At 41.8% G+C, this 15,834-nt stretch overlaps 1 protein-coding gene across 5 annotated transcripts in view, besides 2 other annotated features; it reads right to left on the bottom strand.

Moving 5' to 3' along the window:
- Nucleotides 1-2,996: 2,996 nt before the first annotated feature.
- ZNF236 (zinc finger protein 236) overlaps nucleotides 2,997-15,834 on the bottom strand; it is a 150,345-nt gene continuing 137,507 nt past the window's right edge. For all 5 annotated transcript variants that reach the window (NM_001306089.2, XM_011526165.4, XM_047437793.1 and 2 more), the window contains 2 exons: nucleotides 15,043-15,219; nucleotides 2,997-7,683 (listed from right to left, as the gene is read on the bottom strand). In NM_001306089.2, coding sequence (NP_001293018.1) covers nucleotides 7,559-7,683; nucleotides 15,043-15,219 — 302 coding nt within the window. In that variant the 3' untranslated portion in view covers nucleotides 2,997-7,558. The remainder of the gene's footprint in view (nucleotides 7,684-15,042; nucleotides 15,220-15,834) is intronic.
- Nucleotides 8,725-9,393: an enhancer, noted in NCBI's record as "NANOG-H3K27ac-H3K4me1 hESC enhancer chr18:74678461-74679129 (GRCh37/hg19 assembly coordinates)". NCBI's record gives its function as "activates a minimal SCP1, AML or CMV promoter by ChIP-STARR-seq in naive H9 embryonic stem cells {active_cell/tissue: H9 hESC(naive)}" and the evidence as "EXISTENCE:reporter gene assay evidence [ECO:0000049][PMID:30033119]".
- Nucleotides 11,627-11,676: a silencer, noted in NCBI's record as "silent region_9562". NCBI's record gives its function as "represses an Ori minimal core promoter by ATAC-STARR-seq in GM12878 lymphoblastoid cells {active_cell/tissue: GM12878}" and the evidence as "EXISTENCE:reporter gene assay evidence [ECO:0000049][PMID:35858748]".

Genomic DNA, 15,834 nt, shown 5'->3' with positions numbered 1-15,834 from the left:
TTCATGTGAAAACTAGAGATGATCCTGAGTCGGAATCTACCTTCCAACGTGGTGGCCAGGCTGTTAGCTCACCAGGGGTCAGCGGCCTGCCTGCCTGCTTTACCACAGGTTGTGGCAAAAGCCCTTAAGATCATGTCCCCGCCACACAGGTTGGGCAGCTTTCAGGTCTCCTGGGAGACAGTTTCATCTGTACCGTGGCAAGCAAACTTCAGAGCTATAAGCAGTACCGGGCTATGGCAAGTGTGGTGTGCTAGGAAGACACCGTCACTCAGACATGGGCAGCGCGTGACTGGGGTCTATGGAGGCCTGCACATGAAGAGTTCTCAGTTCTTGCCTTACAGCTTTTCTGTAAGCTTGAAACTGCTTAAAAAAAAAAAAAAAGGCTGAGCACAGCGGCTCATGCCTGTAATCCCAGTACTTTGGGAGACCGAGGTGGGCAGATCACCCGAGGTCAGGAGTTCAAGACCAGCCTGGCCAACATGGTGAAACCCCGTCTGTACTAAAAATACAAAAATTAGCCAGGTGCAGTGATGCGTTCTGTAATCCCAGCTACTCAGGAGGCTGAGGCAGGAGAATCACTTGAACCCGGGAGGCGGAGGTTGCAGTGAGCCGAGAGGACGCCATTGCACTCCAGCCTGGGCAACAGAGCAAGACTCTGTCTCAAAGAAAAGAAAAGAAAGAAAAGAAAAGAAAAGAAAAGAAAAGAAAAGAAAAGAAGAAAAGAAAAGAAAAGAAAAGGAAAGGACAAAGACTTAGCGTTACTAAAGTTGAGAAGCATGATTGAAAGGTAACTAGAAAATGCGCATGGTGAAGAGTATCTTCAGCCAGGAGCAGTGGCTCCCACCTGTACTTTCAGCTGCTCAGGAGGCCAAGGCGGGGAGATCACTTGAAGTCAGGACATTGAAACCAGCCTGGCTAACATAGCAAGACACTGTCTCTAACAAAATAATGAAAATTAGCTGGGTATGGGGTGTGCACCGGTAGTCCCAGCTACTCGGCAGGCTGAGGTAGGAGGATCACTGAATCCAGGAGGTCGAGGCTGCAGTGAGCCATGATCTGCACTCCAGCCTGGGTGACAAAGTAAGAGCCTAACTCAAAAATAAAAGGAGCATCTCAAGGTAGATGGCCAGTTGTTGTCCATCTCTACCCAGAACTACTAAAAAACTGGCTGAGATAACATCAAAGTGAGCTGTCTCACGTTAAATGTAAGAATTTTTCTTATAGAGCTTGGTTACCAAGGTAACCAATGATCTCTTTGTTCTAATTACTAAAATAGTAACGTAAAACTCTCTTCATTGGCCCAGAATAACAACACTGGGGAAGCATCTGTTAATTGGTAGAAGGGGCGTGTGAGGCGTCTCCGTGGATGTGCACTGTGTCATCTGTCATTCTTTCTGTAGTGCCTTAAGGGATTGAATGTTTCAAAGGTGCCAGGTCACAAGAGAAGGTCCTCAATGATGGGGGCAGCACTGTGGGCAGTGAGGAATAATCAGTAACATTTATTTTAACAACTTCCAGGCATATTGTAGGCTGAGCCAGGGCTGACCACGGTGTCAGCAGCCATGAAGCATCGCAGGTTCTCCCCACTTTCCTTTCAGGACAGCCTGCCAGCCTCCTGGCTGCTGGCAGAGGACGTGGGCTCCGGGGTGACAAAGGGGATTTCAGTCACAGTAACAGGAGCAGTAGCCAGAGGGTCAGCATTTGTTTGAACATCTGAGCCCCCAGCCCCGAAGTGGGACGCAAAGTGGGCCAGGAGATGCCTGCACACACAGTGGGTGGTGTGGTGGCGGAGGGGCCTGAGCTTGAGGAGCGGACTTTCAGCTGCTCAGGAGGCCAAGACAGGGGGGTCACTTGAAGTGCACCTGCCTGGCCTTTGGTACGGAGGGCAACAGTGTCTTGATTACACTGATCAGTAAGCAAACGTCCCTTCGTGCTGGAGAAAGAGGCCATCGCCATCTCCCCAGGCTGCGCTCTGTACAAACAGCCCAACAAGAGCATGTGGATATAACACAAAGAAATGCAAGGGGCCCATGGAGAGTGATTCCCAATACCATGTGGTCGGTTAACTGAGAATAGAAGTAGAAGGCAGAGCTGGAAAGAAAGAAATTCAATCAACTAACCCCAGGGACGAGGAGCCAGGTCTAGAGAATGTGACTGGCTGGCCCAGGGACAGGCAGCCGTCAGAGGCAGAGTTCGTCTGAGTGGGGCCCACGCCACCTCCCTCGCAGCATTGAGAGCGCACAGCACACTTGCAGGTACAAGCCTTTGCTTGTGCTTAAGGGACAGCACTCTATTCGCTATCACAGGGAGTCCAGCCTCTGGGCAAAACTCACCTGGAAAAGCACTGCCAATAGTTGAGATGATCCATCGTAGTGGGATCCAAAGCGCTTCCCTCACCCACTCTATTTCAAAATCTATCAGAGCAATATGCCTCCTACAACGAAAGAAAGAAGCGAAAAGAACAGTAAAGCAATTTCTTAACCATTCCCTCTTAGCCAAATTCAGGAAGTCAACATCACTTTAATTTTTTCAGTCCAAAACTACGTGGAGTCCCTACTCAGTGCCAAGAAAACGTATATTGAAATCTCTTGTTTCAACAGGATGATGACTCTCTCAATTACCAACTTCTCTAACAGTTTGGAAATGTAAGGCATAGTAAAATAGATGAATATATCTTTACAAAGAGCCCGACGACATAAAATAACTCCATGGATGCTTCTGGGAAGTCCAGGATCTGGCATCTCTCATAAACAGACACACTGATATTATGATGGATGCGCACGGCATTTCAAGTCACTTTAATACCTTTCAAACGAGAGAAAGCAGAGAGCAGGAATCTGGGACATCCTCCAGGATTTAAATGCTCTGGGCTTGAATATGTTGCCAACTCAGCATTGCTCTATTGTGTTAAGCCATGGCAAACGTGACCTAGAGGAAGTGTCCGCCTTTAAACAGTGACAACTCACCCAAAACCCAAAGAAGTAAATATACAGGAGTTTTAAAATAATACAAAAACTATTTTTATTATTTTTAAAGCCAGCACGGTGGCTTTTGGCATCACTATCCATTTCTAATACAAAACTGGATTAAATAAATATCATCCAATGTATAAATAGATCATGAAACAATTGTGAAGATAAAAAGAGAATTCTTCTGTAATTAAAAAAAATTAACTTTAAAAATTTTCTTTAGTGGTGAATCAAGAACAAATCCCTATGTCACTTGAGAATTTGTCAATTATGATACAAATATTGATAGAATACGTCTTCATGCTGTAAAGTGTTACACATAAAAGATTAAATAGAAAAATCTCTTCTGACTGCCTGTTGCTCCTGCCATTCATACTAATCTTCATTTTTTCTTAGTTGTTAGTCATCCATATAAAGAACTGCCCCGATGCCTGTGTAGGGAGGGTGAGTGTGAGGGTGTGTGGGTGAGTGTGAGGGTGAGTGTGTGGGTGAGTGTGTGAGGGTGAGGGTGAGCTATGTGCTCATCCGTGCATGGGGGTCTGAGGAGGGGAATCCGTTCGGAGAGGGCCAGCCACCAAACAGGACATGTTGTGGCAAGCCACACCATGACAAAGAACATGTCTCTGCTAGGAATATGTGGGCATCTGGCCCACGAAAAGCTCTGTGGTTCCCACTTTCTCCACAATGAAGAAGATGCCAGCTCAGTGGCCTTTGGCGTACGATCTTTTCATTAGAATATGGGAAAGGTGTAGAGGCCCCAAGTACAGATACGACATTAAATTGGGTGGTGCGTGTAGGCGCTTTTGAAATTTCATTCTAAAAAATCCAAAGTGCCTAAGTTACGTGAACACAGATTAAGTGACACAAAAAGAACGCTTCCTTCAGAAGTATCCGCCGCATAATCTCATCTCTGCCTCACTTACTTCCTATGCAGTAGGTCTTGGAAAAGGGATACATTCGCAACGATCAATCCTTGGATTAACTTTTTTTAGTCAGGGAAGGGCACGGTATTAATTCTGAAATAAGCTTCAGAAAAAAATGTAAGAAGCAGGCATGAGATAGCCTTAATATACACTAGAAAGCAGTTCTATATATCTTACCTATTTCCTTTAAAAATCTTATGTACATAAATCTTGAAATTGATTTACATGCCAAACTATTTTATCTTGAATATTTCCAAACATAAATCTGTGTGATGGTCATTTCATGTTAAAATGTGTATCTTAATGAGTTACAAATATTCTTCTAAAATGAGGAAAACCCACAGCAAGACAAGAAATCCACTTCTACTTCTAAAAATTGTGTAGCTGTGCTAACACATGCGTCTCTTGTAATAAATGTGATATGAGTTCAAAGGAAGACACAGAACACTAGCTATAATTTCAAAGATCAAGTTTCCTTAAAATATTACAACAGGGGAGTAGAAAATATGCACGAAGGAAACATCCCCTAGTTAAGTGCCAGACAAGCACTGATGTTCATGTCCCACCAGCAGAACACTGTCAGGAAGAGGAGAGTGGCATTTGATGAGCCTCCCACTGACCTGGCTGCAAGCTGTCAGATGCCATGTCATAGCATTTCCTCTATTTAGATACTTTCTAAGTGCCTCAAGTTTTTCAAAGGGGAAAAAGTAGAGCTTGATGGGGGTGGGGTAGCATTTCAATCTGCATGTTTGAAAACATGTCTTCATTTTCATCTATTGCCATTCTATGGAAACGCAGCCGCTTGGGCATTATCTAGCAGGTGGGACTCCACACATGCTACATGCCTCCTGCTTCCTCAGTACCTGCACCCCACCTTCACGTTTGGTATCTTTGCAAAGGCAATTCATTCTTTCAGCTTCAGTGCTTCATGGTTACTTGAGCACACAAGCAGGATCAAAACACTTAGGAACTTTCAAAAGGTTCCTCAATGACTGGGTGCCGTTGAATAAAGCAGCAAATGAAAGGGAACAGGAACAGTTCTGACACATGCACAGGGCACTGTGCTGACGCCCACGGCTCGCTGTCGCGGAGCCATGCCCTGATTTTGAAAGTCTGAAGCCTTTCCAGTGGACACTGCAGGGGTAAACGCCTCTGAACTTCACAGAGGTAAAGGAAAATACCACTAAAGTTTTCTCTTAAAAATATCTGAACTTGAAATTAATTTACATGCCAAACTGTTTTATCTTAAATATTTTCAAACGAAAAAAATTAATCACATTTCCTAACTTCATCTTTTATTTATAGTTATTCCAAAGCAGATATGCTATGATGAGATAGTTCTAAAAATACAGTTCTTTATCCTCAAAACCCTGGTTATACATGAGGCCTAGAAATCTCTTTTCTAGAATTTTTAAAACAACCAGTAAAATATAAAGATCAACCTGTACCCCACAAAGATTCAAGTAAAATTATGTCTTTTCAAAACCTTATATTTTCAAGGAATGTTCTGCAAAAAAGCAGCTTTTATAATTAGGAAGTAAATCGAAATAATACATAAAATGTCTTGTGTTTGCTAATAAATTGAGAAAAGACACAAAATTGAATTATTGATATTTTCTTTTTCTTTAACCAAAATAAAAGTAGGCTCTAGATTCACCTGTTAAGGCCTTAAACAGTCAATTAACCAATACAATTCACCAAACTAGCTTTCTATACAATTAGGAATTAAACAACCCCTTTTAGAGATGTCCTGAGATGACATTTAATGCTAAAATCAAAATAAATAACCCAGCAAGAACAAAAGTTTAAAATTCCAATAATTTCCACTTTGGGGATATTTTTTCACCAAAATTAATCAACATTTCTAAAATATTTCAATACAAAATTATAAAATAAAAAGTGCATTAAAAGCAGAACCTTTAAAACTCTAGCACAATTACAGTTATTCTGCATATGCGGCTACAGCCAGGTTTACACACTGACATTCAAGGAAGGAAACCTCCGGATTGGTAAGAAGTCCAGTATCACAAGCATAAGTCAAATAAGGCTTTTCTTTTTCTTAAAAAAATATACAATACACAAAGCAGTTTGGAAAAGAAGTAATATTATTTAACAATTTTCTGACTTAAATATCTTCACATAACAAAAGTTTTCATATCACCGTCAATATTACTTATATACATATGCCAAAAGTGAACAACAACAACAAAAAAATCAAAAGATGCCCTTTCAAAATAACAGTAAAATGTCTATTTCTTTAGGAATCTGAAATGAGCTCCTCTCTTAATATACAAAGTCCATACAATATTTATAATAAAACTACTCTCTTCTGAAACCAAGGAGGCAACGAGAGAAAATAAAGGCAATTATTTTTCAGGAAAAAAAAATAAAACCCAGCTTTATATGACAATGAAAAAGATATCCATTTATGAATAAAATGAATACAATACTGATCTGAAGTGCTCGTGGGGAGGTGAAACTGACGCTCTTTCTGCAATTAGGACTAGTACTTATATTTACAAAATATACTGTTCAGCCACACAGAGGCCCATATATCTATGTACATATGTATTTATATATAGAACATATAAATAATTTCAAAGGAAAAATTAACATGAAGTAAAGAACCTTCCATCTTTGGAATGCTGTAGGAATGGCGTGCACGCACTCTGCCCAGCACGGGTGGGATTTGGTTTGGGACATGTTTTATGTGGCACCATTGACGATACTAAAGAATTCCCTGAAATCAAAAATACATCTGTTTATGCACGAAGAGAAAGTCATGGGGTTTTTACGGATTCGTGGCCTTAAGCTACAGATATGCTTCTTATTTGCTGGGGTGGACAGGGCCACCGTTGCTTGCTCCTTGCAGACGGTTCTGTGGTTTCCTACCTGCGATGTATGGCTTGTGCTTCTGCAATTATGTAACCCTGGACCTGAACACAGATTGATGCGGTAAGTGTGTCGCCAGCCCGTGTGGACAGCTGAATCCTTATTGGTGGGTCAGGTTTACTCGAGTCCCCATGTTGACGCCCCAGATACTGCATTCTTGTAACTAATGATTAAACATTTGTCATGGAGAGAATTGGTCCAGCCATCTCTCAAGGTATCAGTTATATTAACTTATGGTAGACTGAAAAGAGTCCATTTTGACTAATTTTCAAAATGCACAGAGAAAAGAGTGGAAAAAACTTCCCTGTGTGTTGTAACACTTTTTTTTCTGAACTTCATGCCTCAATCTTACGCTTGCTTTGTAAGCTATGCTTCTTATAACCAGAAACATGAAGGAAAATCTGACATACTTTTTCAATGTTAGCGTTTTTGTCTTTGCTAATACAAAGAAATCACACTACAATGATAGTAAGACCCAGTTAATTGCTTCGTGAACTAGACACACTAGCCACGGAGGAGACTGAGGAGGAAACTGCCTACAGTAGTACCTGAGTTCAGTGATTTGTAGACAAAAGAGAACAATGCGGTGACACTTTTCCTAGTTTTTTTTTCCTATGAGTCTCTGAAAGACAATGATTCTTTAGATAATTTTATAGATAAAAAACTATTGTAGCATTTTTAACACTTGAAGCTTTAAAACGGAGATTCCAAGTGCTTTGCTCTTCACAAAACGTAACTTCAGAAACATTCTTAAAGGTGTACTTCCAACTCGCATCAGAAGACGTGGGTGAGGGCCTGCCACTCGCCGGCGGCCTCCTGCACCACCTCCTCCAGGTGGAGGGTCCGGCTCAGCTCCTCCCCGTCCTGCTCCGGGTGACCTGCAGACTCCTGCAGAGCTCCTGTTATGCAGACAAAGAAAACACAAGCAGCCTCAGACCTTCCAGAGCACAAAATGATTCCTATTTAAATAAAGACTTTCTGGTAGAAAGAGACAAGGAATTTCTAAAGTAATTTGCTTTTCATTCCAGTGAAAAAAGAGTAATTTGAGCTGCAGGTGAAACACCTCTGCCGGCAGGACAGTAGTTACTGTTAGGAGTATGAACGCACACACAGCACTGGTGATATGAGTGCACTCCTATGACAGCTACATTAACACAGCATCAGGAATGAGCAATAACCAACACACATGATTTCCATAATAAAAAGGAAAGCAGGAAGCACTACAGTGTAGACGTTAAAGAGAAAAAATTACCCCTTTTTCCTTCCTCAAAAACTCCCCACAATATAGTGTTCTGCCCTCGGGTTCCCTACACTGAAAGCCGTCGAGCTCCCCTCACAAAGTACCGCACCTCAAACAACCAAAGAACACCTGCAAGCCTCACAGAGCACACCACCACCTCCAACACCAAATCACAAATCTCACAGATCACACCACCTCCAACACCAAATCACAAATCTCAGAGATCACACCACCTCCAACAACAAATCACAAACCTCACAGATCACACCACCTCCAACAACCAAATCACAAATCTCACAGATCACACCACCTCCAACACCAAATCACAAATCTCACAGATCACACCACCACCTCCAACACCAAATCACAAATCTCACAGATCACATCACCACCCCTAACACCAAATCACAAATCTCACAGAGCACACCACCTCCAACAACAAATCACAAACCTCACAGATCACACCACCTCCAACAACCAAATCACAAATCTCACAGATCACACCACCTCCAACAACAAATCACAAATGTCACAGATCACACCACCTCCAACAACAAAACAAAAATCTCACAGATCACATCACCACCCCTAACACCAAATCACAAATAACACATCTCACGAATCACATCACCTCCAACAACCAAATAACACATCTCACGAATCACATCACCTCCAACAACCAAATAACACATCTCACGAATCACATCACCTCCAACAACCAAATAACACATCTCACGAATCACATCACCTCCAACAACCAAATAACACATCTCACGAATCACATCACCTCCAACAACCAAATAACACATCTCACGAATCACATCACCTCCAACAACCAAATAACACATTTCACGAATCACATCACCTCCAACAACCAAACAAACCACAGATCTCACAGAGCATACCACCTCGAACAATCAAATCACACCCGCAAAATGCATGGAGCACACCAAGGGGTCTACTCAGACTTTAACATTTCTAGTTCCTTGCATAGCTACTGCCACCCTCTGAAACCTAGTCTAGGCCATCTATTATCATTCCTTCCTCAGAGATGGATGCCACTGCTAGATTCTGTGTAGGAAACAAAGGTGAACAAGGGACAGACAAGCAGTAGGATCACACCCCAATATCCATACTCTGAAGGGCATGAACGTTAGCGAATCAAGAGAGAAACCAAGGCCCACGTGTTGTCTGTGCCAGGTCAACAGGATGCAGACAGGAGCAGTTGGTGCAGATTCTGTTTGCTCTGTGCCCCTGAGCACCGAGACAGCACCTGAACTGCATGCTGCAGGAAAAGGGGCTTCCAGACATGATGTGAAGACAGACAGAGATGCTATTCTGGGCCTCTGACTGGCCAGGTGCTGAAGGCCCCTACAGAAAGCTCTGTCCAGTGAGAAACGAGCTGCTCAGAAATGCTGCGCTTGCTCAGGTTCTGGGCTGCCATTTTACTCCAATAAATTTCTGTGCCCTTGCCAAAATATAAATTTAATCTAATCAAATTCTGTGTGTGTGTCTCTGTGTGTGTGTGTGTGTGTGTGTGAAGGGGGGCAGTCCATAGCCAACTTCAACAACTGCAAACACTAACTATTAAAGTAACAAAAGCACAGGCTTCCAGAGATCATGGCGGATGGGAGGCAGGACTAGACTGCACCTCCGACTCAAAGGGACAGAGCAGCATGAGGAGGCTCACATTGTGAATTTTTGCTCCCAAACAACTAGGGGAATAAATCAGGAAACCTGAGAGGACCCACAGACTCTCTGAAGGAAGTGGATTGCTCCTGCAGGACCCAGGAGACACCCCAAATACTCAGCCACAGCAAGACCCGCCCAAGGAGAGTCTGAGCTCAGACACGCCTAGCCCAGCCCCCACCCAATGCTCCTTCTCTACCCACCCTGGAAGCGGAAGACAAAGGGCATATACTCTTGGGAGGTCTAGGGCCCCGCCCACCACCTGTTCCTCCCTATACTACCACAGCTGATGCTCTCTGGAAAGCACCACCTCCCGGCAGGAGGCCAACCAGCACAAAAATAGAGCATTAAACCACCAAAGCTAAGAACCTTCACAGAGTCCATTTCACCCCCCTGCCATCTCCACCGGAACAGGCACCGGTACCCATGGCTGAGAGACCATGAATGGTTCACATCACAGGACTCTGTGCAGACAACCCCTAGTACCAGCCCGGAGCCAGGTGGACTTGCTGGGCGGCTAGACCAAGAATAAAGGTAACAATCACTATAGCTCTGTTCTCAGGGAGCCACAGCCATAGGAAAAGGCGGGGAGTACTATATCAAGAGAACCCCGTAGGACCAAAGAATCTGAACAACAGCCTTCGGCCCTAGACCTTCCCTCTGACAGAGCCTACTCAAATGAAAAGGAACCAGAAAAACCAACTCTGGTAATATGACAAAACAAGGCTCTTTAACAGCTCCCAAAAATCACACAAGCTCACCAGCAATGGATCCAAACCCAGAAGAAGTCCCTGATTTACCTGAAAAAGAATTCAGGAAGTTAGTTATTAAGCTAATCAGGAAGGTACCAGAGAAAGGTGTAGCCAAAGGTAAGGAAATCAAAAAAATGATATAAGAAGTGAAGGGAGAAATATTCAATGAAATTGATAGCATAAATAAAAAACAAGGAAAACTTCAGGAAACAATAGACATACTTATAGAAATGCAAAATGCTCTGAAAAGTCTCAGCAATAGAATAGAACAAGTACAAGAAAGAAATTCAGAGCTCGAAGACAAGGTCTTCGAATTAACCCAATCTAACAAAGGCAAAGAAAAAAGAATAAGAAAATATGAACAAAGCCTCCAAGAAGTCTGGGGATTATGTTAAACGACCAAACCTAAGAATAATCGGCATTCCTGAGGAAGAAGAGAAATCTAAAAGTTTGGAAAACATATCTGGGGGAATAATCGAGGAAAACTTCCCTGGCCTTGCTAGAGACCTAGACATCCAAATACAAGAAGCACAAAGAACACCTGGGAAATTCACTGCAAAAATATCATTGCTTAGTCGCATTGTCATCAGCAACAGCAGCTAAAAAAGACAGAGGGGCATTATATAATGATAAAAGGCGTTGTCCAACAGGAAAATACCACAATCCTAAACATACATGCACCTAACACTGGAGCTCCCAAATTTATAAAACAATTACTAATAGATCTAAAAAATGAGATAGACAGCAACATAATAATAGTGGGAGACTTCAATACTCCACTGACAGCACTAGACAGGTCATCAAGACAGAAAGTCAAAAAAGAAAAAATGGATTTAAACTATACCTTGGAACAAAAGGACTTAATAGATATATACCTAACATTCCATCCAACAACTGCAGAATATACATTATATTTAACAGCAGATGGAACTTTCTCCAAGACAGACCATATGATAGGTCACAAAATGAGCCTCAATAAATTTAAGAAAATTGAAATTATATCAAGCTCTCTCTCAGACCACAGTGGAATAAAACTGCAAATAAATTCCAAAAGGAACCTTCAAAACCATGCAAATACATGAAAATTCAATAACCTGCTCCTGAATGATCATTGGGTGAAAAATGAAATCAAGATAGAAATTAAAAAATTATTCGAACTGAACAACCATAGTGACATAACCTATCATAACCTCTGGGATACAGCAAAGGCAGTGCTAGGAGGAAAGTTCGTAGCCCTAAATGTCTACATCAAGCCTGAAAGAGCACACACAGACAATCTAAGGTCACACCTCAAGGAACTAGAGAAACAAGAACAAACCAAAACCAAACTCAGCAGAAGAAAGGAAATAACCAAGATTAGAGCAGAACTAAATGAAATTGAAACAAACAAACAAAAGATAACTGAAACAAAAAGCTGGTTCTCTGAAAACATAAATAAAATTGATAGACTACTAGCAAGATTAACCAAGAAGAGAGGAAATCCAAATAAGCTCAATAAGAAGCGAAATGGGAGCTATCACAACTGACACCACAGAAATATAAAAGATCATTCAAGGCTACTATGAACACCTTTACACATATAAACTAGAAAACCTAGAAAGATGGATAAATTCCTGGAAAGATACAACCCTCCTAGCTTAAATCAGGAAGAATTAGATACCCTGATCAGACCAATAACAAGCAGCAAGATTGAAATAGTAATTTAAAAATTACCAACAAAACAAAGTCCACAACCAGATGGATTCACAGCAGAATTCTACCAGGCATTCAAAGGAGAATTGGTACCAATCCTTTTGACACTATTCCACAAGACAGAGAAAAAGAGAACCCTCCCTAAATCATTCTATGGAGCCAGTATCACCCAAAACCAAAACCAAGACAGGACATAACCAAAAACAAAACTACAGACCATTATCCCTGATGAACATAGATGCTAAAATCCTTAACAAAATACTAGCTAACCGAATCCAGCACATATCAAAAAGATACTCCACCATATGATCAAGTGGGTTTCATACCAGGGATGCAGGAATGGTTTAACATATGCAAGTCGATAAATGTGATACACCACATAAACAGAATTAAAAACAAAAACCACATGATCATTTCTACAGATGCAGAAAAAACATCAGACAAAATCCAGCATCACTTTATGATTAAAACTCCCAGGAAAATCGGCATACAAGGGACATACCTCAATAATAAAAGCCATCTATGACAAACCCACAGCCAACATAATATCGAATGATGAAAAGTTAAAAGCTTTCCCTCTGAGAACTGAAACAAGACAAAGATGCCCACTCTCACTACTCCTCTTCAACATAGCAGTGGCAGTCCTAGCCAGAGCAATCAGAAAAGAGAAGAAAATCAAGAGCATCCAAATCAGTAAAGAGGAAGTCAAACTATCACTGTTTGCTGATGATATGATTGTTTACCTAGAAAACCCAAAAGACTCTTCCAGAAAGCTCCTAGAACTGATGAAAGAATTCAGCAGTTTCCAGATAAAAAATTGATGTAAAGAAATCAGTAGCTCTTCTATACACCAACAGCAACCAAGCTGAGAATCAAATCAAGGAGTCAACCCCTTTTACAATAGCTGGAAAAAACAAAACAAAAACAAACAAACAAAAAAAAACTTAGGAATACACCTAACCAAGGAGGTAAAAGACCTCCACAAGGAAAACTACAAAACACTGCTGAAAGAAATCACAGATGACCCAAACAAATGGAAACACATCCCATGCTCATGGTTGGGTAGAATCAATATTGTGAAAATGGCCATACTGCCAAAAGCAATCTACAAATTCATCGCAATTCCCATCAAAATACCAACATCATTCTTCACAGAATTAGAAAAAACAATTCTAAAATTGATATGGAATCAAAAAAGAGCTCACATAGCCAAAGTAAGACTAAGCAAAAAGAACAAATCTGGAGGCATCACATTACCTGATTTCAAACTATACTATAAGGTCATAGTCACCAAAACAGCATGGTACTGGTATAAAAATAGGCATACAGACCAATGGAACTGAATAGAGAACCCAGAAATAAACCCAAATACTTATAGCCAACTGATCCTCAATAAGGAAAACAAAAACATAAAATGGGGAAAGGACACCCTTTTCAACAAACAGTGCTGGGATAATTGGCTAGCCACACGTTAGGAGAATGAAACTGGATCTTCATATCTCATCTCATACAAAAATCAACTCAAGATGGATTAAAAAAACTAAGACCTGAAACTATAAAAATTCTAGAAGATAAAATTGGAAAAACCCTTCTAGACATTGGCTTCGGCGAGGACCAAGAGCACAAAAGTGAATGCAATAAAAACAAAGATAAATAGCTGGGACTTCATTACACTAAAGAGCTTTTTAATGGCAAAAGGAACAGTCAGCAGACTAAACAGACAACCCACAGAGTGGGAGAAAATCTTCACTATCTATACATCTGAAAAGGACTAATATCCAGAATCTACAACGAATTCAAACTAATCAGTAAGAAAAAAAACAAACAATCCCATCAAAAAGTGAGCTAAGGACATGAACAGACAATTCTCAAAAGAAGATATATAAATGGCCAGCAAACGTATGAAAAAATGCTCAACATCACTAATGATCAGGAAAATGCAAATCAAAACCACAATGTGATACCATTTTACTCACGCAAGAATGGCCATAATCAAAAAATAAAAAAAAAAATAGTACATGCTAGCATGGATGTGGTGAACAGGGAATACTTCCACACTGCTAGTGGGAATGTAAACTAGTACAGCCACTATGGAAAACAGTGTAGAGATTCCTTAAAGAACTAAAAATAGAACTACCATTTGATCCAGCAGTCCCACTACTGGGTATCTCTACCCAGAGGAAAATAAGTAGAATCTTTTTCATTGTATGAAAAAGACACTTGCACACGCATGTTTATGGCAGCACAATTCGCAACTGCAAAAACAGGGAACCAAACCAAATGTCCATAAATCGACGAGTGGATAAAGAAACTGTGGTATTTATATACATAAATACACACACACACACACACACACACACACACACACACACAATGGAATACTACTCAGCCATAAAAAGGAATGAATTAATAGCATCTGCAACCACCTGGATGAAATTGAAGGCCATTATTCTAAGTGAAGTAACACAGGAATGGAAAACCAAACATCGCATGTTCTCACTCATAAGTGGGAGCTAAGCTATGAGGATACAAAGGCATAAGAATGACACAATGGACTTTGGGGACTCGGGGGGAAAGAATGGGAAGGGGGTGAGGGATAAAAGACTATAAATAGGGTGCAGTGTACACTGCTCAGGTGATGGGTGCACGAAAATCTCACAAATCACCACTACAGAACTTACTCATGTAACCAAACACTATCTGTTCCCCAATAACCTATGGAAATCAAAAAATAAAATAAAGCACAAGCTTCCAGTCCACACAACTGAGGCTGTACCACGTGCAATGCAAAATCACTGTGTGAACTAAAGGAAACAATGTATGCGAAACACAGGGTGCCTCGCAGGCCACCGAACAGCACGCACTCCCGGGTGCAGCATTCTCACCAGCATAGCTGTGCGCCCGCTTCATGTGCAGCTTCATGTTGCTCTTCTGCGTGAAGCCCATGACGCAGTAGGCACACTTGTAGGGCCGCTCCCCCGTGTGCTTCTTCATGTGCACCTGCAGCGCACTCTTCTGGTTGAAGGCTTTCTCACAAAGCGTGCAATGGAACGGCCGCTCCCCTGTACAGAAAATGGCATATGTCAATGTCTCTAAGAAAAGTATAGTGGATGCCTGGGCTCTACCCTGAGGTATGAACAAGAGGGACTGAATGTTCCTCTTTTCTTTTAGGCTTTCAGCCTGGCTGTCATCTGAACAAAGGGCTGGAGGAGCCATAGGGAGACCAGAGGGAGCCTGGCCAGGTCCTAACGACCCCCAGCAGATGGGGCGGAGGGATCAGAGAGCCATGGAAGGGCCACGGTGGATGCAGCCTGTGGAACCCCAGGCCCACAGTGAGTCGTCAGATGATCACAACAGAAATGAGCCCGGGATGATGTCCTGTTAGGGCAGGGCGGAGACGGAAGGGCTGACACGAGCTATCATGTACAGTCAAGAGGCAGAAGATGGAAGAGCTTGTTTCTTTGTTCCGTGTGTTTTTTTTCTCTAAGACAAAAGGTTTGAGCAGATTTAGGTGGTGTAGGAAAAGCCAGCAGAGAAAAAAAGTTTTAAGACAGAAGAGGAAGATTAAAAATTAAGTTCCCCGGTGACATTGAGGACATGGGACCCAGGCACTGGGGGCCGCCTGTTTGCTCCAGCAGAAGGGAAGGAGGGACGTGACATGGTCAACATCCCAGACA

The sequence above is a fragment of the Homo sapiens genome, chromosome 18 (genome assembly GCF_000001405.40).
Source record: "Homo sapiens chromosome 18, GRCh38.p14 Primary Assembly".
Lineage (NCBI taxonomy): Eukaryota > Metazoa > Chordata > Mammalia > Primates > Hominidae > Homo > Homo sapiens.
The sequence above is the reverse complement of the archived record's forward strand: the minus strand, read 5'-3'. Positions and strand labels throughout refer to the sequence as shown.